The sequence below is a fragment of the Homo sapiens genome, chromosome X (assembly GCF_000001405.40).
Source record: "Homo sapiens chromosome X, GRCh38.p14 Primary Assembly".
Taxonomy (NCBI): Eukaryota; Metazoa; Chordata; class Mammalia; order Primates; family Hominidae; genus Homo; species Homo sapiens.
Window position 1 is genome coordinate 68,064,655 of NC_000023.11, and position 24,913 is coordinate 68,089,567.

Here is a 24,913-nt window from a genome sequence, read left to right on the forward strand (position 1 = left end):
CCAGCTTTTGTGGTCTACAATTTCCTCTGACATTAGTACATGTCTTTCAGTGGTTCTGAGACTTACTTAAAGCTTTTGAGACCCTAATGAGACCTAGGGACCATCTCTCTAGAAAAATTAACCCACACAAATATAGCAAAAATTTTGAAAACTAATTTTTTAGTGATTCACAGAGCCTTCTGAAGCTGTCAATAAACCCCAGATTGAGAATGCCTGCTGTAAAGAAATTGTCACCTTCCATAGTCATAAAAAACTTCGAGTGCAGTGGTTAAGAACAGAGGTTCCAATGAGAACACTTGGACACACGAAGGGGAACATCACACACCAGGGCCTGTTGTGAGGTGGGCGGAGGGGGGAGGGAAAGCATTAGGAGATATACCTAATGTAAATGATGAGTTAATGGGTGCAGCACACCAACATGGCACATGTATACATATGTAACAAACCTGCACGTTGTGCACATGTACCCTAGAACTTAAAGTATAATAATAATAAAAAAAAAGAACAGAGGTTCCGGCCAGCAAATTGAAACCTGAGATATATATCAACCAATTGCAATACATGGATCTTATTTAGATCTTGATATTTTTTTTAACAAAATGAGATAATAGGAGAATGTGGATACTGACTGGATAGCTGATCTTAAGGAATCACTGTTTTGTTTTATTTTAAGTATGATGATGATATTGCGGTTTTGCTTTTAAAAGAGTTCCTTTCTTTTAGAGATATACACTGAAACATTTACAAATGAAATGACATGATGAGTAGGTTGGGGGAACGGGTAGGGGTATAGATGAAATAAGACTTGATATATGTTTTTAAATGCTGAAATGTGGGGAGTTCAATACGTTTGTTTCCAATTTCTGTTTATGTTTGGAATTCTTCGCAATAAAATGTTAAAAGAAATGCAGGCTCTGAAGCCAGGTGGCCAGGTCTGAATCTCAGTTCTGCTTCTTACCGACTGTGAGACCTCGTACAAGTTCCCTATTCTCTCTGTACCTCAAATTTTCTCCTCAGTAAAACGGGAATAATAAAGAATACCGGTCTCATGAGGTTATGGTGAGGATTACAGGAGATGGTAGGTATACTTATTTCAGTGCCTGGCACATAACAGACACTCATTAATTGGTGGTTATTATTTACACTATTATGTGGTGGGTGGGCAGTGAGGCAAAAGTTTCCATGGGGGAAGTCTTGCTGCAAAGGTTTTTGTCCCCTAGACAGTTTTATTCTCCTTGGGAATTTGCCACCACTGATGCCACTGCCAAAGGGGCCGGAACCAAGGGGAGTTCCCCTATAGTCTCCCTAATTTTGTCCCAAAGTAGACACATAGCCCTTTATTTATTAACCCTAGCATAAGTGCAACCAGACAGAGGCCATCAAACAAAAAACTACCAAAGGCTCACAAATAATGGCATGAACATGAGCACAAGAGCGCCAAATAACTAGAGCCTCTGGCTTCCAGGACGTGCCTTGTGGCAGAGGCCATCTTTAAACACAGCACTCAGGAGTAACTCAAGCACATCTACTCTCTCCAAACAATAAAGTGCATGGTGACATAAATTCTTTCCCTCACATGCTTTAGCCCAACATCTCAGCTGCATGTTCCTATCTGAATACTTTCTTCTGGACAAGTGACTCCATCTCTGCTCTCCCTTAGGGAAATAAAGGTTGCCTGTGCCCTACAGGCCATAGAGTAACATCACCATCTCAAGAGAGCCAATCTTCATAAAGAGGACCCACATACACAGCCTCAGAGAGGCTGCTACCTTCCACTCAGGAAAGTATCTTCTGCTGGCTCGGGAAAATAGGAAATGTAATGATAGAAGCCATGATGACTTCGGAGCCAGGCCTTTCAGCAGGGAAACTATTTCTAGGTTCTGGGGTATGGTGAATAAAAATAATGATAATAGTGACAATGACAGTAATAATGAGAATAATACTGATAAAGACAACACATACCATTACTTGAGCACTTATACCATGGCAGACCCTGTTCTAAGTGCTTTACCTGGATTATCTCATGTAATCCTCAAAACAGCTCTATAAAGTAGTACATTGTTACTAGCCCCATTTTACAGATAAGGAATCTAAGACACCCGCAGTCTCCATGTCACAAAACTACTAAGTGGAAACGCCAAATTTCAAATCTTGAAGTCTGCTTCCAGAGTCTACTTACTCTTTCTGAAGAGAGTTCATTGCTCTGTCAGGTAATAAAAGTTCGGTGCCATCCCCTTTCCCTAACCAGCCACCCATTTCTACAGGAAAACACACAGACAAGTCTCAGGGACTACGAAGAACTGGGAGTGAATCAGGATGAGACAGGGAGGCCTCATAAATAGGCGTGGGGCCAACCCTTAAAGTGGAGGCCTCTCTTCCATGGGTGGGTAAGAGGTGGGGAGAAGCTTTGAGAGGATACACACTGGTACAGTAATAGAAATAAATCAATTATTATAATACATGTAGATTCATGCAAATAAGTGCTAGGAGTAAGACAGTACTAATACTGACTGCAAGGATTAGAGAGGGTCTTTATAAAACAGGTAACTTTTAAGCTGGGCCTTGAAGAATTCCAAAAGGTGGAGCAAAGTAGAAAGGGCATTCAAACAAAAAACAACTTGGAGGAGTGAAAGACCATGCTTTGCCTAAGAAAATATAATTAAAAGTTTGGTTTGGCTTGAGCATAGGGACCAATTACAGATGAAAAAGTGTGGGTAGCTGGAGGTGAGGTTGTTGCAATAAGTTGGGGCTATATCATGAAGTCCATGAATGCCATGCTCAGGAATACAAACTCTGCCTTTGAGTCACAGAAGACAATGATTTTGGGGGGCAGAGGGCTGTGGGTGGGGAGAAGTGGCATTATCAAATATGCATTTTTAAACATCCCTTTGGGTTCATTACGAAAAGTAATGAAAAATAGGCTCGTTCCAATGAAAAGTAGCTTGGACCAGAAAGACTGGTGGCAGAAAGACAAGCTAGGGGACCGCTGTTGAGAAGGATCCAAACTAGAGCTGCGTCAGAAAAGAGAGGCAGATTCAAGAGAGGTTAAAGAAGTGGAATAATCAGGGCTTAGTTATGGAGGTGTGATGGAGTCCATGACGAGGGTGAAAGGAGTCACTGACATACTATATACAAAAGGGATATCAAATTTCAGAGTGAGATAATGAGATGCTACTGGTGAGCAGGATTGGTTCCTTCTCAGAACAGTGTTCAGACAGGTTATAGGAAGTGTGATATTATAGTAAATAAATAAGCTTTAGGATAAGATAGATGAGTGCAAATTGTTCTGTCATTTAGTAGCTGTGTTAGTTGGGAAAACTACTCATCATCTTTGAGCTTCCAGTGCCTTCACTATAAAACAGAATTCAGCATACCTACCTCGCATGGGAGTGCTGAACATTAAATGAGATTATGGATTCACACTCACATAGGATGGCTAGAATAAATAAGACAGACTATACAAAGTATTGGTGAGGATGTGGTGAAATTGGAGCCTTCATTCATTGCTGGTGGGAAAGTAAAATGGTGCAGCTGAGGCCTGGTGCAGTGGCTCATGCCTGTAATCCCAGCACTTTGGGAGGCCGAGGTGGGCGAATCATGAGGTCAGGAGTTTGAGACCAGTCTGGCCAACACAGTGAAACCCCATCTCTACTAAAAATACAAAAAATTAGCCTGGTGTGGTGGTATGCACCTGTAATCCCAGCTACTCGGGAGGCTGAGGCAGGAGAATCACATGAACCTGGCAGGCGGAGGTTGCAGTGAGCTGAGATCGCGCCATTGCACTCCAGCCCAGGCGACACTGTGAGACTCCATCTCAAAAAAAAAAAAAAAAAAAAAAAGGTACAGCTGCTTTGGAAAACAGCCTGGCAATTCTTCAAAAGTTTTAATATAGACCGACCATATAACCTACAATTCCAGTCCTAGGTATATACCCAAGATAATTAAAAACAGACATCCACACAAAATCCTGTGCATGAATGTTCACAGCGGCATTATTTATAATAACCAAAAAATGAATACAATCCAAGTGTCCATCAACTGATCAATGGATAAATAAAATGTGCTACATCTATACAAAGGAATATTATTTGTCCATAAGAAAGAATGAAGTACTGATACATTCTACAATGTGGATGAACCTTGAAAATATTATGCTAAGAGTAAGACGCCACCCAAAAATGTCCACATATTCTATAATTATATTTCTATGAAATGTTCAGAATAGGCAAATCCGTAGAGGCAGAAAGTAGATCAGTAACTGTCAGAGGTTGGGGGAGAAGTAAATTTAAAAGTATTGGGATTCTGGGATGATGAATATGTTCTGGAATAAGATAGTTGCACAAAATTTACTAAAAACCATTAAACTGTACGCTTTAAAATGGTGCATTTTATGGTATGTGAATTATAGCTCAGTTTTTAAAAAAGTTAAAAATAAAAAATGTCTAGACTGGGTAACCTCATTGGAGATCTTCTGTCCCAAAGCCCTCATCACCACAGAGGGGCAAATTGAGGTCCAGAGAGGGGAAGTGACTAGCTCAAGTTATTCAGCAGGCTAGTAGCCAAGATTAAATTAGACCTTCTATCTACTGACACACAGTTCATTCATTTTTTGCACTCATTTATTAAGGAATTACTATATGCCTGGCACTGTGCCCATGCTTTGGATATAGTAAAAAAAACAAGTGGCCACTGGCATAGAGTTTATATTTGGGGAGACTGTAAATAAACAAACCCATTCTGTAAAAATGAGACTATGGAACAACAGACAGGCATCCAATGTTCCCCTCCACTTTCTCCTGAATGCCAGCTCACCTCCTCTGTCAAAGAGTTGATCCCTTAACCTAAGTGATAATCTCTTCATCATTCCTTATACATCCACTCATTCATTCTTAGAATATTTACTAAATACATGATATGTATACCAGGAGTTGTTCTAGGGCCTGGTAATCAAATAGATTTTACATTCTAATGGGAGAGAGAGATAATAAACATGTGAACAAACAGAAGCAGGGGATATGAGTTGCATTAAGCCATATAAAGGGATAGGGAGTGATTGGAGGAGGAGAAAGAACTATTTAAGTAGAATGTTAAGAAAAGGTCTCTATGAGAAGAAAGCATTTAGTAGACACCTGAATGAAAGAGTGAGCCTTGTGAAGTTCTGGAGGAAGAATGTTTAGGGCCAAGAGAGTAGCAAATGCAAAGGCCCTTAGGTAAGTTTGACACAAGTAAGGACCTGCAAGAACAATGAGATTACAGTAGAGAGCAAAAGAGACAGTGAGAGAGCAAAGTTCAGAAATGAAGGTCACAGAAATAAGCAACAGTCATATAATGAAGAATAAAATGCAAATTTTATTCTAGGTATGAAGGGAGGTTACTGAAAATTTGGCACAGAGGGAATGATGTGATCTGATTTCCATTTTTTTCATGGTTTCAATGGACACTTTTATTGTCTATTTAATGGATCATCAATTTCGTCTCCCTACCTACAAATGGAATTTCATCTTGTTTCCACGCTGAGTAGTGAAACAGTGACAAAGCTAATCAGGATAAGCTACATCAAAAGAGAACTAAGCTAACACAGCTCACTTTTTTTTTAACAGGCAAAATATGCATATATGCATTCTAGAATGCACAATGGTTTAGTCACTAAGAAATTCAAATGGGATCTTGAAGAATGTAGGCAAATCCAGGGTGCAGTAAAGATGAGCTGAGATGCTGTGCAACTGTTTAAGGGTTCCTGGCACTGCATCTCTTGGCCACTAGCTGAATCTTGACATGGAAGGTTTTAGCTAATGCCAAGTGGAGATGCAGAAAATGCTAAGTTGACTTAGGGGCTGTGCACAGGAACTAAAAGGCAGAAAAGTACTAAATATTGCCGAGAGCATCCACCCCAGGAAGGACTTTACTGTCCAGGAGCTCTAAACTGGCACCACCCGTAGTGCTCACATGTCTGATTTTATCCTCTGTGTTCCATTTGGCACAGCAAGTGGCAGTGTTTCCACCACCTATGATGGTAATGCAGCCCCTAGAAGTGGCTTTCACCACCTCATCCATGAGGGCTTTGGTTCCCTGGGCAAAAGCTTCCCATTCAAATACCCCCCACAGGACCATTCCACACAATCTGCTTAGCCCAAGTGACAGTCTCAGCATACTTCTTGCTGCTTTCAGGACCACAGTCCAAGCCCATTCAGCCAGCAGGTATGCCAGAAGCCACAGTGGCTTGGCCAGTCTTGGCATTCTCATCAAATTTCTCAGCAGTGACAAAGTCAATAGGCAAGGTAATCTTCACACCATTCTTCTCAGCTTGGGACATTAGGTCTTTGACAATCTTGGCTCCCTCTTCATCAAACAGAGAAGTGCCAGTCTCCATGTTGTTGAGCACCTTAAGGAAGGTAAAAGCCGTTCCACCACCAATAATCATCTCATTGACTTTGTCCAGCATATTATTGATCAGGTGGATCTTGTCTGCAAATTTAGCTCCACCCAGAATGGCCAGGAAGGGTCGCTATGGGCTCTCCAAGACCTTCACAAAGTAGTTCAGCTCCTTCTTCATCAAAAAACCACCAGCCTTCTGTGGCAGACTGACTCCTACCATGGAGCTGTGGGCTCTGTGAGCAGTGCCAAAAGCACCATTGACATGCACATTCCCTAGCTTGGAAAGTGAAGCTCGGAAAGCTTCTATTTTGGCGGGCTCACTTTAACCTTGTTCCCAGAGTTTTCCCTTCCCTTCTTCTTCCACATGAAAGTGGAGGTTCTCCAGCAGGATGACAGACCCAGCAGCTGGGTTGGCACAGGCTTTCTCCACTTCTGGGCCTACACAGTCTTTCAAGAACAGAACATCCTTGCCCAGCAGAGATTTGAATTCTACAGCAAATGGCTCTAAGGAGTATTGTCAGGCATAGGGACACCATCAGGCTGGCCTAGGTGGCTCATAAGGACTACTGACTTGGCTCCATTGTCCAAGCAGAATTTGATGCTTAAGACAGTAGCCTTAATCCTCTGGTTGTTTGTTATCTGGTTATTCTACACAGGAACATTGAAGTCCACTCTCATAATGACCCGCTGCCCTTTGACGTCTGGTTTGTCCAATGTCAGCTTGTTAGAAAGCGACATTTTGGAAATGGAGAGAGGTCGATGATTCAGACAGTAAGGGAGCCGGCTGCTGATGTGTGCTTGGGAAGCTTGCAGAATCCTGATTTCCATATTTTAAAGGATGTGCTGTTACTGGCTGCCGGGGAGAATGAATTACAGGCAAGGAAGAAGGCAAGCAATGATACCAGGTAAGAGATAATAGTGGCTTACAGTGATAGAAGCAGTGGGCAGTAGTAGAAGTTAGCATATAATGTGCAGGTAGAGCTGACAAGAATTGCCAATGGATTCAATATGAAGGAAAAAGGGAAAGTAGTAACCAAGGATGATTCCAAAGTTCTTGACCTTAGCAACTGGATGACTGCTGCTGCCAATTACTTAGATGGAGGAGACCAGAGTAGGAGCAGGTTAAGAAAGAGTCAGGCATCAAGTTATGTTTTGCACAGTGTAAACTGAGATGCCCATGAGTCATCCAAGGAGAACTGTTGAGCAGGAAATTTGATATGACAAAAGAGGCAAGATATCAATCTTAGATAAATTTGGAAATCATCTTTAGCATTTAAATGATATGTAAAACCATGAAATTTAATGAGATCACACAGGAAAAGAACATGATCAGAGAACAGGACTAAGAAAAAAGCTCTGGGACCTTCTAACATGTAAAGTTGGGAAGAGAAGGAAAACCAGGAGAGAAGACTGAGATGGATTATCTGGTGAGATTAAAGGAAAATCTGGTATCCTGAGAGCCAGGTGAATAAAGTGTTTCAAGAAGGAGGAGTTAGTCAACTGTGTCAGATGCTACTCACAAACTGAGTATGATGAGAACAATGTTGTAGCTATTTGGTTTGGCCTCATGGAGATTATTGGCAAACCTGACAAAAATGGTCTTAGTGGAGTAGGAGGGCAGAGGCACATTTAGAATGGGTGTAGTCTCCACACTAGCAATTATTCCACTGAAGGCATTTATTTCTTCACTTATCTATGTCTCCATTTCTTCTGTGAGGGCAAGCAATGTATCTTAATTTCACCTAGCACAGTACCTGGCACATAGTAGTTATCCAATCCGTGTTTGCTATATTTGAATTTAAAATTTCACAACATTCACCTTGCTCACCCATTTCAATATATTGGGGGCATAAATCTAAGAACACCTTGGATCCTGCACTGGCCTTATAGGGATCCTCCACGTGGTAACTTCCTTTACAAGCTCATCACCATCCTATCTGCTGTCAAAGGCTTAATCCCCTCTCTGAGCACAAACTACAAACCCTGGCTGCTTTTAAGCTCAGGAGCCAGGAAAGGTCTACTTTTATAGAGAGAAAAATGGTCATGCCACCGCTTCTGCCCTTCGATATCCTCTTTGTGTCTAATCACCATTCAGAAGCTAAAGGTGAACCTCAGTACTGACCTTCGCTTTCATCCAGGGAAGAAGTATAGAAAACCGTCCTTTCTCGCAGCAAGCGCTTTGAAATCGTGATTGGTTTGTGCCTTCTTGCTGTCACCCGAGGCGGAGGCACTGGCGGTGCAGCGCTTTCCTCAGGTGGACCTAAATAGATCTGTGGAGAAAGAAGGAAGATATCTAGAGAATAATTAGATCAAGTTTTTGTCTTCTGAATGCTACCCACCAGTTGATGCTTGTTGGCCTTATATCTAGAGTTTGTAACGTGAATACTAACATGACTCAAAGAATCAGAGATTTTCTTAATCACTCTAGCTACAGGTAAATGTTTAGGTATCTCCTACTATGCTCAAGGCACAGAACCTGGCACTTCTCAGTTTGGAAGAAAAAATGCCTATAAAAGATGGCATTAGTCCTGGATTTTCCATGTCCTTCCTGGGAGACCTTAGGCAAGTCACCTCACTTCTCTGAGCCTTGGCTTTCTCATCCGTAACATAGGGACAGCATCACCCACTTCACAGAGTGTGGTAAGAAAGAAATTAAAGGAGCTGTCAAGGTGCCTTCTATGGGTGGGGGTAGGACATGGAAGGAGACTAAACACAATTACATGCCCATATGCCTTAAATAGTTCTGAAGGGATACCAAAGAATCTGATTACATTGTTTGTCTCAAGGTAGGACTAATGATTGGCTGGGGAATACAGGGAGAACAACTGTGTTTTCCCTCCTATGTCACTTTGTTCTTTTATAATTTCATGCCATGGTACATTATCTATTCAATAAAAAGTAAAATAAAATTAAAAAGCAACAACACAGTGCCTTGGATGCTATAAGAAGTGCCGAAGGCATGCAGAAGGAGCTGTGATTAGAATTTTTATATAATGTCTCATGTGTACTTAAGGATTTTCCAGTCTCCATGGAGACCAACCTTTTAGCCCAAGTGCATACACTATGGGATGATACACATATGTGATGGAGAAAGGAGACCACTGTCTAGCCAGTGAGACTAACAAAATCAACCCCAGTGATTAGTGTAAAGAGAAATGTCAGAGCCCAATATCCCATCAGGCAAGGGTCAACACAGACTACATGGGCATGGAAATAACATGATTGAGAACACAAGGCAAGCTGTGTAAAAGGTGGACAATGATAAGAAACAATGCATGAACAATCACAAACCGTGAGTATATGCCTCATGATTGTAAGGAAGACAAAATGTAACTTAACAGCAAGCAGATTAATGTTGAGGCCATACGGTTCTAGGTCATATTCCTAATTCCACCATCATTAGTAATAATAGTCTAAAGAGCCACCATTTTGTGAGCTCAAACACTGTAGTAGTTGTTACAAATATTCCTTGCTATTTTTCGAATACATGAGGTCGTTGCACTGACTGTTTCTTCCACCCAGACTGATCTTCCTTCAGATATCCATTCTTCTAGGATTCTAATCAAACATACTCTGCTCAGTAAGCCCTTCCAGGTCAATATATTTAAAACAATGACATGCCTCCCTCTACGCAAGCATTCCTATCTTCCTTCCATTTTAATTTTTTTTCTCTTCAGCATTTCCTATCACTTTCTAACATATAACACGTTTTACTTATTGATTTTGTTTGCTGTCTGTCTCCAAGCTAGATTTTACACAACATAGAAGCATGTCTGTCATGTTCACTGCTCTATCTCCACCACCTAGAAGAGGGACTGGAATTGCTGAGGCAAAAAACAAATACATTTGCAATTCTAATGTAAAAGGCCAAACTGTCACCTGAAAATACTACTACTATTAACAGCTACTAACTACTACTACTAAAATACTACTACAAACAGCTACTATCTTATTCCGGCCAAGATAGGGCACAGAAACTAGTTTTACTCATTTAGCCTGAAACAAGTAAAAACAAAACAAAACTAGGAAAAATACATGCAACAGTAGTTTTAAAGGCATTGGAAATCCAGCAGTGAAGGACAGTGAATGCTGAGAGACTGAAAAAAACAAATGAGGTCAGCCCTATGAGTTTCCCAGCTTAGAGTTTTGCAGGCTGCAGTGCAGGAAGGGGAACCCAAGTGGAACCCAGTAGTATCCCTACGTTGAGAAGACTGAATTGGGAGTATGGGAAAGACAAGGAAGTGAGAATTTGCAAGGCAAAGTGCCAGAGAGATTTTGTACACTAAAATCTTCAAAATATTGCTGAGAAATATTAAGAAAATCTAGATAAACTGAGATATATTTTGTTTGCAGGTATAAAGACTCAATAGTGTTAAGATGTAAATTCTCACAAAATTGATCTACAGACTGAACACAACCCAAATACCAGTAAGCTTGTATGTAGACATTGACAAGCTGATTCAAAAATGTATAAGGACATGCAAAGAACCTAGAATAGCCAAAACAATCTTGAAAAAGAAAAACAAAGTTGGAAAGCTAACACTACCTGATTTCAAGTCTTATTATAAAGCTACAACAATTAAGACAGTGTGGCACTGATGTCAAGATAGGTGAATAGATCAATGGAACAAAATAGAAAGCCCAGAAATAGACCCACATCTATACAGATAAATTTATTTATTTATTTTACAAAGGCAATTCAGTGGAGAAAGGACAGCAATGGTACTGGAACAATGTGATATACATAGGCAAAAAAAAAAAAAAAAAAAAAACTTCAATTCGTATCTTATACCACAGAAGAAAACTAACTCAGAATGGGCTATAATCAAATTTAAAAGCTGAAACTATAAAATTTCGAGGAGAAAAATCTTTGTAATCTTAGGTTAGCCAAAGATATCTTAGATACAATGATTCATAAAATAATCAATAAACTGAACATCAAATTTGAAAACTCATGATTTTCTAAAAGACACTGTTAAGAATGAAAAGAAAAACCACAGACTGAGTTAAAATATTTGTAAATCATATGTCTGATAAAGAACTTGTATTATATATATATTATATAAAGAACTCCCAAAACTCAATAACTCAATAATAAGAAAACAAGTAAATCAGTTTTTAAAGAATAAGCAAAATATTTGAATAGACACTTTACCAAAGAAAACATACAAATGGCAAACATAAAAAAAGTTCAACATCATTAAGTCAATAGGGAAATGCATGCTAAAAACATGATGCGATGCCACTGAACACCTATTAGAATGGTTGAAATTTTTTAGACTGACCATACCACATGTTGAAAAGAATATGGAGGAACTGGAACTTTCACTGCTGATGGGAATGTAAAATCATACAATGTCATAGTGAATTAAAAAAAAAAACCACCCAATGAAATAGATCATCTGAATAGTCCTATAACCATTAAAAAATTTCAATTCATAGTTTAAAAACTTCCAAAGAAGAAATCTCTAGACCCAGAGAGTTTAGCTGGAGGATTCCACCAAACATATACAGAATTAACATGAGTTTTACAGTCTCTTCCAGAAAGTACAATGATACAGTTACTTAAGAAAAATGTTTTACGTTTTCTTTAAAAATTAAATGTATAATTACTATGTGACTCAGTCATTTCTACTCCTTCATGTTTACTCAAGAAAAAAGAAAACATATAGTCGTACAGACTGTACACAAATGTTTGCAGCAGACCCAAACTGAAACAACCCAAATGTCCATTAACTAGTGAATAGACAACCAAATTTTGGTATATATGATGGAATACTACTCAGTACTAAAAAGGAATGAACTATTGACTCACTATAACAACTTAAATTAATCTCAGAATAACTATGCTGAACCAAAGAAGCCAGACCAAAAGAAAAGTATATACTGCATTATTCCGTTTATACAAAACTTTAGGAAACACAAATTATACTAACAGAACTGATTAGTGGTTGCCTTAGGTGAAGAGTTTAGTGTGGGAGTGGCCTGGAGAGGGGAGGATTTTGAAGCGACCAGCCACTGAAAAGGACATACAAAGGAAAAGAAAATGAAATAGCTTGTGAACATAAAAATCAACTTCACTAATAATTATAAAACTACAATTCAAACAAGATATCACATTTTGCCTATTAGACTGATAAATTAAGAAAAATCGATATTGTCCTAAACTGACAAAGAAGTGGGTAAAAACAGTCACCTTTATAAGCTGTTATTGGGAGGATGATTTGGTTTATCCATATTGGGGGTCAATCTGGTAGTAGCAATCATGATTTTAAATAGGCAAGACCTCTGATCTCCCTACTTTTAAAACCCCTATTAAGCAGAAATCCTGACACATACACACACTGATATCTATGCAAGTTCCATGTACCATAAAAAAAATAAAACTACATAAATATCTATTAACATGGGAAAGTTACATAAATTGTGGTTCACTCACTGAGGAATATTACACAACTGTTAAAAGGTGGTGATGTAGATTTGTAAGAACTGAGGTGGAAAGATTAAATATTTTAAAGTAGCTTATGGAATAGTATATATAGTATGATGTCATTATTCAAAAATAGTTTTGTGTGTGTATGAATGCACTGTCCTTTGTCATTTATAATTGCAAAGAAAAGGGTCTAAAAGCATACACATTAAATTGTTAACAATCACAATCATAACCTCTAGGAAAGTGAATAGGATTACAGAGGAATGTCAACAGATACATTCCTGTTTTAGTCTATACACTTCTATATTATTTAAATTTTTGTGCTGAATTTTAAGTTTAGTTTGATTTTTTAAAACATAATAAAAATGAAAACAAGGACACCCTCTAAAATATTTTTTATTGTTGCTTAAGAAAGAACCTAAATTGTAGGGATCTAACACACATGAGTTCAAACCCCAGCTCTATCACTTATGGCCTCTGTCATGTTAGGCAAGTCATTTAACCTCTCTGAGCCTCAGTTGTCTAATTTGCCAAAAGAAGATCATGTCTATGAGTATAGTTGTCATGATCAACTGATAAATGTACATGAGTATTTGTCTAGCTTAAATCCCCCTTCTCTCTCTCTCTCTCCAGGGCCCTTCCATTTGGTTTTGAATACAACCTCTTAAATGGGGCCAATTCTATTTTCCAGGGGACATTTCATGACATCTGTGAAAATATTTATTGTCACAACTGTGGAAGGGGGGTTGGCATCTAGTGGGGAAAGGCAAGGAATCCTGCTAAACATCCAACAATGCCCAGGGCAGTCCCCACAACAAGAATTATTGGCCCAAAATGTCAAAATAATACCAAGGCTGAAAAATGTTGGTCTAGAATAATGAAGAGGAATAACAAATGAGAATATACTTACTTAATGCAGATGGGATTCAAGAAAATTTTAACCCTGAACTAAACTTCTAAAAAAACGTTTTGAAAACATTGAGTGGAGGAAAACAGAATACATATTTATTATGTTTATAGGCATCCATCCATGCATCTGTCCATCCAACAATCTCTTCCGATTGAACCCAAGTGAGTGTTATTAATGGAGATAAACGCATCATATATTATTTCCCTTTGCTCAGTTAGAAGACATCCTTGCTGAGCCATTCATAATATACCAGACCATAGACACCCTCCCTCACAGATGGCGTCACCTCATACTTCAGAGAAAAGGGAGGTCATTAGAAGTAAACTTCTTCAGCTGGGCGCGGTGGCTCATGTCTGTAATCTCAGCACTTTGGGAGGCTGAGGCAGGCGGATCCCTTGAGGCCAGGAGTTCAAGACAAGCCTGGCCAACATGGTGAAACCCTAGCTCTATTAATAGTACAAAAATTAGTCAGGCATGTTGCAGCATGCCTGTAATCTCAGCTACTCAGGAGGCTGAGGCAGGAGAATTGCTCAAATCTGGAAGGTGGAGGTTGCAGTGAGCCCAGATTGCACCACTGCACTCCATCCTGGACAACAGAGCAAGACTGTCTCAAAATAAATAAATAAATAAATAAATAAATAAATAAATAAATAAAGTAAACAACTTCAACTTTCTGTCCCCATACTGACAAACTCATTGACATCCACACTTATAAACCTACTTTATCTCTCCTCACTTTCTAAGGAGAATGCCTCTACCTATGCTCTGGATCCCATCTCATCTCTTCCTGTTTCTCAGGGACCTTCCTCCATCATTCATCTCCTTTCTTACAATACTGTTTCTCAAAAGCATTTAAATGAACTTAAGTCTCTCCTGTCTGAACCCAAGCTACTCTCCACTGCCATCACATTCATTTTCTTCTACACTTTCCAGACAGTTAAGTCTCCATTTCTTCATCCTCCAGTTGATCCTCAACCTTGTCTCTGCCCACATCACTCCTCTGTAACTGTTTTTACAATGATCACCACTGGCCTGCTGATTGCTGACTCCAACAGGTACTTTTTCAATTTTTATTTTGACTGTGCTCCAACATTTAACACATTTAACCAATCCATTTCTAAAAATTCCTCTCTCTTTACCTTTCTGCTTCTCTGAACACTGTCGTCTCTTTCACTGGCTCTCTCTGAAATTTAATGTTCTCCAGGATTATGTCCTCAACCTTCTAATGATCTCACTTGTCTGCACTCATTCGCTTTCTCAACCGTGTCATCCACTCACATGGCTTGCACTACCAAGTTTCTCTACTGGTTTCTATACCAATATATCTAACTAACTGCTCAATGTTGCCTTCTGGATATCCCAGAGGTATCTCAAATTCAACATTTCTAGAATTAAACACTTTCGTCCCTTAAAATTTTTTATTATCTAAAACAATGCCAATGTCCAAGCCACAAATCTGGACATTATTATCTTAAAATCCTCCCCCTCTCTCACATCCCACATCCATTTAGTCACCAAGTTCTATCAATTATACTTCCTTAATGTCTCTCTAATCTGTCCCCTCTGCTCACTACCACTGACTTGGTTGAGTCTCATCATGTCTCTCTATGATTATAATAGTCTCCTAATTGTTCCTTCTGTCTCCAGCCACTCCTGTCTTTAATCTGTCTACCCAAGTGCAGGTAGAGTGATCTTTCTCAACTCTAATCTAATTGTGTTACTCCACTGCTTAAAATGTTTCAATGACTCTTCACTGTCTTCGGGACAAAGGCCAAATTCCTTAGTTAGCACACAAAGTACTCAATAATCTGGCCACATCCTGAAATCTCCAGCCCCATCTTCCCCATCTTCCACTATTCCCCTACATTCACCCTCCACTATAGCCATGCTGAATTATTAAAGTTCTTTAGTCTCTTAGTTATTTAGTTCTTTGGTTATTTTATGGAACTTAATTTCTCTGGTGTCTCATTCCTGTATGTATCCAGAGTGATCTATACACAGAACACTTTCACTCTTACCCTTTATGGAAGAGACTGCTAATTGCTTACTGGTACCCACCTTCCCCTTCTTACTTTTACTAATGGAAGTCACTGAATGGTAGCTGGGCACCCATGCCTACCTTTCTTAGTCTCCCTTGCAGCTAGGTAAGGACATGTGATTAAGTTTTAGATAACAGAATACAAGTAGAAATAATGCATGAAAGCCTCTGGGTCATGCTTTTATGAAGAAGCTGTCTGTATTACATTCTGTCTTTTTTTCCCTTTCTCTCTGGCTAGTAAATGGGGACAAATGGAATAGCTATCTAGGATCAAGAAACTGAAGCCAAGTGGTGAGGATGGCAGAAGTATGTCATTGATCTTGGACTATTCACTGCTAGACTTTTATGTGAGAGAAAAATGAACTCCTCTCCATCATATTTAAGCCAAATAATTTGCAGTCCTCTGTTATAGGAGGACTTTTCTTACAGAAGGTTAATCAATTAATCTACTCCTCTGATTTTCAGGACTCACATCATGCATTACCCACTGTATGAAGACTTCTCTGATTCCCAATAGAGAGGTAAGTTCCCTTTCCATGGGCTCCCACAGCATCCAATGCACATCTTCACCACAGTCTTTATTACACTGCATCCTGAGTGTTAGTTGGTTCCAGATACCCCCAAGTCCCATAACTTTTCTGACAGCAGAGATTTTTTTTCGTGATTCCTCTCTAGAGACTAGGGCTGAGTAGGGCACGAGGCAAGATAAAGCAGCTCAATGACAGTTTTTAAAATGAATGGATGAATTTTGGCTACCAGGCCCTTTAGAGCATATTAAATAATAGAACTTTTTTTTTCATTTATTCCTTCACCAACTATAATTGGGAAGAGAGAGTACAAAATAGAGGTGAGAGAGTACAAAGTAGAGGTCAAAGAGTCAGGACAGAGTCAGAGTCAGTTGTGTTGGAGCTTTGCTATGTAACCAGGGGCAAGAAACTTAAACTATATGAATCTCAAACTTGAAGCTCAGTTTGCATTTTGAAAATGTCAGCTGCAAAATGAGAATAGTGATACCATCTACCTCATAGGGTTGTTGTGATGGTTGAATGAGGTAACATACAGACATACCTAGGAGATAGTGTGGATTTGGTTCCAGACCACCAGAATAAAATATGTATCACAATAAACTGAGCCACACAATTTTTTCTGGTTTCATGGTGCTTATACTATACTGTAGTCTAGTAAGTGTGCAATAGCATGATTCCTAAAAATAAGGTATACATCCCTTCATTAAAAATAATTTATTGCTAAAAAATGCTGACAATCACCAGAGCCTTTGGCAAATCATACCCTTTTTTGCTGGTGGAGGGTCTTGCTTCTATGTTGATGACTGCTGATTGATCAGGATGGTGCTTACTGAAGGCTGGAGTGGCTATGGCAATTTCTTAAAAGAAGACAACAATGAAGTTAGCTGCATCAATTGACTCTTCCTTTCACAAAAAAAAATTTCTCTGTAGCATGCCATGCTGTTTGATAGCATTTTACCCTCAGAACTTCTTTCAAAATTGGAGTCACTCCTCTCAAACCCGGCCACTGCTTTAGTAAACCAAGTTTATGCAATATTCTAAATCCTTGGTTATCATTTCCACAATGTTCACAGCATCTTCACCAGGAGTAGATTCCACCTCAAGAAACCATTTTCTTTGCTCATCCATAAAAAGTAACTTCTCATCCATTGAACTTTTATCCTCATATGGCAGCAATTCAGTCACGTCTTCAGGCTCCACTTCTAATTCTAGTTCTCTTGCTATTTCTACCACATCTACAGTTACTTCCTCCACTGAAGGGTTAAGCTCCTCAAAGTCAGCCATGAAGGTTGTAATTAACTTTTTCAAACCTCTGTTATTTTGTTGATATTTTGACCTCCTCTCATAAATTATTAATATTCTTAATGACATCTAGATTGGTGAATGCTTTCCAGAAGGTTTTAAATTTACTTTGCCCAGATTCATCAGAGGAATCACTATCTATGGGATCTAAATCCTGATGAAATCTACTTCTTAAATAATAAGACTGGAAAGTTACTTTATTCCTTGATCCATGGGCTGCAGAATGGATGTTGTATTAGTAGGCATGGAAACAACATTCATTAATCTCCTTGCACATCTCCATCAGAGCTGCTGGGTGATTACTACATTGTTAATGGGCAGTGATATTTTGAAAGAGAGCTTTTCTTTTGAGCAGTAGGTCTCAAGAGTGGGCTTAAAATATTCAGTAAAACATTCTGTAGACAGATGTGTTGTCACTTAGGCTTTGTTGTTCCACATATGGAGCATGGGCAGAGTAGATTTTGCATAATTCTTAAGGGCCCTAGGATTTACAGAATGGTCAATGAGCCTTGGCTTCACCAGCTGCATTAGTCCTTAATGAAAAGAGTCAGCCTGTCCTGTGAAACTTTGAACCCAGGCATTGACTTCTTTGCAGCTATGAAAGTCCTACATGGCATCTTCTTCCAACAGAAGGCTATTTCATGTACACTGAAAATGTGTTTTTTAGTGTTGCCACCTTCATCAATGATCTTAGCTGCATTTTCTGGATAACTTGGTACAGCTTTTACATCAGCACTTGTCGCTTCACCTTGCACTTTTATGTCATGGAACTGGTTTATTTCCTTAAACATCATGAACCAACCTCTGCTAGTTTCTTTTTTTTTTTTTTTTTTTTTTTTTTTTTGAGACGGAGTCTCGCTCTGTCGCCCAGGCCGGACTGCGGACTGCAGTGGCGCAATCTCGGCTCACTGCAAGCTCCGCTTCCCGGGTTCACGCCATTCTCCTGCCTCAGCCTCCCGAGTAGCTGGGACTACAGGCGCCCGCCACTGCGCCCGGCTAATTTTTTGTATTTTTAGTAGAGACGGGGTTTCACCTTGTTAGCCAGGATGGTCTCGATCTCCTGACCTCATGATCCACCCGCCTCGGCCTCCCAAAGTGCTGGGATTACAGGCGTGAGCCACCGCGCCCGGCCTCAACCTCTGCTAGTTTCAAACTTTTCTTTTGCAGCTTCCTTACTTCCTCAGCCTTCACAGATTGAAGAGTTACAACCTTCCTGTGGATTAGGCTTTGGCTTAAGGGAATGTTGTGGCTGGTTTGATTTTCTATCCAGACCACTAAAAGTTTCTCCCTATGAGCAATAAGGCTATTTTGGTTTCTTATCATTTGTGTGTTCACTGGAGTAGCACTTTTAATTTTCTTCAAGAATTTTTCCTTTGTATTTACAACTTGGCTAACTGTTTGGCACAAGAGGCCTAGCTTTCAGCCTATCTCAGCTTTCAACATGCCTTCCTAACTAAGCTTAATCATTTCTAGCTTTTGAGTTAACATGAGAGACATGCAACTCCTTCTTTCACTTGCATACTTAGAGGCCTTTGTCGGGTTTTTAATTGGCCTAATTCCAATATTGTTGTGTCTCAGGGAATAGGGAAGCATGAGAGGGAGAGGGATGAGGAATGGCTGATCGGCGGAGCAGTCAGAACATACAACATTTACTTATTAAGTTTGCTATCTTGTCTGGGTGTAGTTCATGGAGCCGCAAAACAATTACATAGTAACATCAAAGATCACTGAACGCATATCACCACAACAGATGTAAGAAAGAAAAAAAAGTTTGAAATACTGCAAGAATTTTCCTAATGTAACACAGAGACAAGAAGTGAGCCCATGCTGTTGGACAAATGGCTCTGATAGACTTGCTTGAAACAGGATTGCCACCAACATTCAAATTGTTTTTAAAAATAAAATATTTGCAAAGAGCAATAAAGTAAAGCACAATAAAGCAAGGTATACCTGATGTAAAGAACCTAGCCTGGAACATACTGAGCACTCAGTAAGTGGTAGTTATTGCAATTATCATGAACCCTAAAAAGAACTTAAACCTATGTTTCCTTAGAGAAAGAGAAAACACAAGACACACAAAGAGGTGGGGAGGGGGGAGGGAGAGAGGGGAGAGGGAGGAACGGGGGGAGAGGGAGGAACGGAGGGAACGGAGGGAGAGAGAGTGAAAGAGGGGGACAGGGAGAGGGAGAGGAGAGTGGTAGAGAAAGGGAGGGAGGAACAGAGAAATTTTCAGACCGGAGCAATAGGGAGTGAAGCAGTTACATGCTATGCAAATCAGGTGATATGAACTTAATTGCTCTTCAAGCTCTCTGTCAGATTAAATGATCTTATTTCCCTGCTCCAGTTATAAAAATTATTCACTTCTCATTGAAAAAAAAAACCCTTCCTCACAGGTTGTTCTTCTTCAAGAAGCTACCCAGGCCTTAAGATAGATATGGGCTCACTGACTTCTACGATTTATAATGAGAGCTGACAATTCCACCTGGACAGGGTGTTGTCCACATGCCCTGTCTCCTGAAAATATACTGAAAGGCTCATTGGTAAGGAGCTGGTTGAGAGCAGTTTTGCCAATGTGGCAGTAGGCAGAGCTCAGAGAAGGTGCTTGGTAGGCTTAAAACCACACTCTCTTTAAGTGAGAAAAGTCTAGAAAAGCAAAGGGGAAACTTCCTGTTGTGTGTCTTCTCTAAAATTAAAATGTGGCCTGAATAACCCTGCAGTCATCACGGATTGCAACATCCTTCCCAAAGCTGGCCTACAGATGCAAACATTCAAGCCAAACTTTAATGTGGAAATATTGGCAATTGCTGTAGTAAGAAGAATCCACTTACCTCTTTTTCTGGTCTGTGGCCCTCCAAAGGCCTCACTTCAAAACTCTTTTTTAACAATGGGCATTAACCTGTGTGTTACTGCTATTCCTTTTGGGAAGAGAAATGGAGCAGATTGTCATCCTTGCTCCCAGACACTCTGGTTTCTTTGCTGTTCAACATGCCAAGCACACTGCTGCCTTGGGCCTTTCTACTAGGTTTTCCCTATTCATGGAATTGCTCTTCCCAAAGATATCTACCATACTTTGTACCCTTACTTTATTCAGTTCTCTGCCTAAATAACACATTAACAGTAGCCTTGTCTGACCATCTTCCATAAAGGAACAACCCACTACCTTGCTTTACTTTTTCTTCAGAGCACTTGCCACCACCTGATGTATTGTTTATCTCCAGCAGAACATAAGACCCACAAAAAAGGGCCTTTGTTTTGTTTGTATCCCCAGAGCCTAGAACTTCACCTGTCCATAGTAAGCATTTAGTAAGTATTCATTGAATGAAGGGGTGACATTGGTACCTTAAAAACAGGATTATAAACTACAGATATAACTAGTGGAATTGGGAAGGGCAACTTGCGGAAAACTCCACAGTTTCTATTAAGAAAGGAGGAAGGAAAGAGAATATGGGCCCAAGATCTCTTAACTCACTGTTGGCAGTCCAATATTAATGAGAAAACTTTCAGAGCTGACAAGGGAGTTAGAATAGGTCCAAGAAAAGAAACCTAGCAAGCTCTACCTAATGCCCCAGTGGCTTCTTGTGTATCCATGAAAGGACTTATTCTAAGCAGGTTCTGAGAATGGAATAACAACCTACCCTTTTACAATAGCAGAAATAAAACCAGGCATGGTGGCTCAAGCCTGTAACCCCAGCACTTTGGGAGGCTGAGGCAGGAGGATCACATGAGGTCGGGAGTTCAAGACGAGCTTGGCCAACATGGTGAAACCCTGTCTCTACCAAAAATACAAAAATTAGCCGGGAGTGGTGGTGCACACCCATAATCCTGGCTACTTGGGAGGCTGAGGCAGGAGAATCGCTTAAACCTGGGAGATGGAGACTGCAGTGAGCTTAGATCACGCCACTGCACTCCAAACTGGGTGGCAGAAGTGGAGACTCTGTCTCCAAAAAAAAAAAAGCAGAAATAAATCCTAAAAGAATGGGAAACTCATAGCATATGGAGACTTTCTAAAGGGTCAAATACTAGGTGGCACAGGATGCAAAACCAGTTCCTATGCATCTCATGCAATCATTGTGAAAAGGTAGTGACAGCAGTAATAGAAGGTGGAAATGGTGGTACTAGCTGCTGACCCAGAAGACTGACTAAAATGGCTTTGATGGAATAAACTTTTTCCAAGTTCAAGCCATGGGTCAGAGTTAGTTTTAATGGTCAACTCTTCTACAATGTTTACTACATGTCAGGCACATGTCTAAGTGTTTTATGTATATTAACTCATTTATTGAGTGTTTACAAGTTCCTTTCTCTGAACACAAATTCCTTTCTCTGCAAAGACAACCTGGGCTTGAAGGACATGATTGAACAACTAGCGCATTAGGGTAACCACAAAATAAATCCCTCTATCTACCCCTTTCCACAGGATTAAGGGAGGAAAGAATAATTAGAAAGCTGAATGAATGGAAAGTTGAGAAAATTATCACTAGAACTTGACAGGGTATAGGCCTTCATTTTCCCTCCTCTGGACACTGTAGTGGTTCTTCTGTAGCTGAAAAATTAAGTAGGAATTCCTAACTCATAGACAGACTAGATCAACTCACTGGGGAGAAGACTAGAAAGAGGATGTGAGGCCAAAGGCTTGGCTGGGAATAAAGAATGTGCATTGTCCAAGGCCACCTGATAGTAAGAAGCAGGGCTATGATATGAACTCAGAAGTGTCTGACTTCAAGGCTAACACTCTTTCCACTATAAACCATAGAAGGAAACATTTTAAGTTTAAAAATAACTCCTCGGGTAGAAACAGTATCAGGCAGAACTTATTTTCCCACCCTCCAAAACTCCAGAAAAAGGACAGACTGATTTGGCTTTCTGTGGACTGGTTAAGAACAATTAGGGCTTCATGGTCTCTGATAGTGACTTCAGAAAAAAATCCCAGAAGGTGGCCAAAGTAGAGTCTGGGGGCAAACCAGTGCTTATTTGTTTTCTGGGCATATGGTTGGCACTGAGTGCCATTCTAAAGGCCTGGTCTAAGAGAACTCAATATCCGAGGAATATTATTTCATTCTGATGGGCCTTGGCTGTTGTTTTGGGTTGTATTCAGGAAGGAGCCCAACTCCTGGAATCCCTCTCCTGAAGGCTTCTGGGAACTAAATCTGGATAATTTGCTGGGCTTTGAGACACTGCCAGGAGAGCGATCACCTCCATTGGGAAGAGGGTTAATGAACTGCTTGCCTGAGTTTGGTCACATATTAACCCCCTTACGGATTCTTCTCTGTCATGTCTTTAGGTGTGAAAGAGAGAAGAAATTTAATATAAGATGGTCATTTCCAATTGCCAAAGGCCAAGAGATCCAGACCCATTCTAACTCTTGGAAATCTTGGCAGAAATGAGCAACTATCCAGATTCTTTCCAGATGTCGCTTCAGGGCTGCAAATATCAGATTGTACAAAAAAACATTTTGCCTTTCTATAAATCAAAGCTACAAGACTTGGCCCTGATGAATCCCAGCTTTCCAACTGAGTCTCCATTTACACTCTGGCTAAGGCTATGTTGAGCTTTCTGGGTTCTGGTTATATTAGCAAAAACCATACTCTTAACTACACTAGAAACAAAGGTGGCAAAGGGTCAAAAGTAATGAGCTCTTAGCATTTGGCACAGACCACATTAAACATCAAGTGTGTCACCGAGTTTGCTTAGAGTATGTAGAGAACTTTGAAAGTATCACGTCTGTTGTTACCAAGAGCCAGCTTTTTATAAAAGGGCTGTCACTAAGGCTGTCTTTGGTCTCAGCAACACATAGTCTTTAAGGCCTTTTTAGATGTAACATTCCAGAATCCTGTCTAGTCCTACTCATCCAATATACTTATGGGAAAATCGATGTCCAAAGAGGGGGAAGTGACTTGCCCAAGGCCCCAAAGCTAGTAGGTGGTAGAACTGAGACTAGAATCCAAGAGTTCTAATGCCCAATCGGGTGTCATTTCCCCTAAAAACCAGTACCTCCTGCCTGAAACAGCTGTAGACTTCCACTGATTATATCTAACCGGTCTGTAATCCGTGTTCTAATTGTCTGTTCATTCCCCTTCCCAGTTGTCTTGGGAAGAAAATATCAAGGGGGAGAGAAGATAAAGTCAGATCCTGTTAAGGACATCTCTATCTACTCAGCATGGATTGTGAGTTTTCTACTAAGAATGAGATGGCAGATTCCAAGTGCAGTTTCTTTTTAGATCAACTTAAGATGCGTTTAGGTTGGGAAATTAAAGAGTTTCTCTATCATTTAACAACCATAAACAATGGTGTAACAGCTACTAAGAAAAGCCTCTTTTGACTACAAAGACTTAGTAGATACCAAGGTATTAATAAAAGTATTAGGAGGGAATGCCACCACAAAGACAGAGCTCATCTCCTGTCAATACAGCAAAGGGGTGGTGGTATAGGGCAGGGGCAAGTACTAAAATTTAGTGGCCAATGTACTATGTACAAAGTACTTGAAACATTTATCTCAATGACTCCTCCCAAAAACTCTATGAAGTATGTCTAATTATTGGTATCATTTTTTTTTAATGAGGGAAACAAGGCTCAGGGGGGTAAACTGGCTTGTTTAGATGACCACCCAGCTAGTAAAGGATAAAGTTGGGATGTAACCCCTGGGCTGTCTAGTTTAAAGCTATTTTTCCATTCTTTCCATTATTCTCACTCTAGGGATATCTGAAGAGCTCACAGAGGTAGCCTGGACATTTTCAGAGTTCTTGGTAAGGAGTCTTAATCTAAGAAAGTAGCAATGACCCAGTTTTCACTCTCCAAATCTCAGAGCAAAGAAAAAGTCCACCCGATCTCTCATTGCTCCTCAATTGATTCCTGTTTTCTGAAATTCCTATTGGCCTATCACCAGACTGCTGAAGCTCAGTCTGCTTTAAGTCTAGCTGCCAAAGTACACCTATCTGGCCCTCTGGCACACTGGCCCCAGTCTTACTGTATTATCTAGACTCTGGTGTTCCAACCTGAGACCTCAGGCCACTCAAAGGAGAACAGCAAAGGAAAAAATATATGATACAAGAAAATCGCTGGCCATTGAGGGGAATGGACAATATGACCTTGGAGATATTTTCGATTCTCAAAAATCTCTGATTCTATATTCTTCCCCACCCACACACACTCGAAGCCTCCAAAAAGAAAATAAAAACAGATATTTGATTTTGATAGTCCATAGAAACTTAACCTCTGTAGACCGCAGTTTACCTGTAAGTAAATACTACATAAAGTTGTGAGAAATCGAGGAGATGCTTTGTGTCAAATGTATAGCACCATGTCTGACACATAGCAAGCTGTCAAAAAATGCT

At 40.0% G+C, this 24,913-nt stretch overlaps 1 protein-coding gene and 1 pseudogene across 7 annotated transcripts in view; both read right to left on the reverse strand.

Moving 5' to 3' along the window:
- OPHN1 (oligophrenin 1) overlaps positions 1-24,913 on the reverse strand; it is a 391,498-nt gene that overhangs the window by 22,311 nt on the left and 344,274 nt on the right. For 5 of the 7 annotated variants that reach the window (XM_011530961.2, NM_001437258.1, XM_006724653.3 and 2 more), the window contains one exon: positions 8,498-8,645. In XM_011530961.2, coding sequence (XP_011529263.1) covers positions 8,498-8,645 — 148 coding nt within the window. Of the gene's footprint in view, positions 1-8,497; positions 8,646-11,033; positions 17,141-24,913 lie in introns of those variants that run through there. The other 2 variants (XM_047442145.1, XM_017029555.2) reach the window with 1 other exon arrangement.
- On the reverse strand, positions 5,423-7,196 carry PGK1P1 (phosphoglycerate kinase 1 pseudogene 1; annotated as a pseudogene).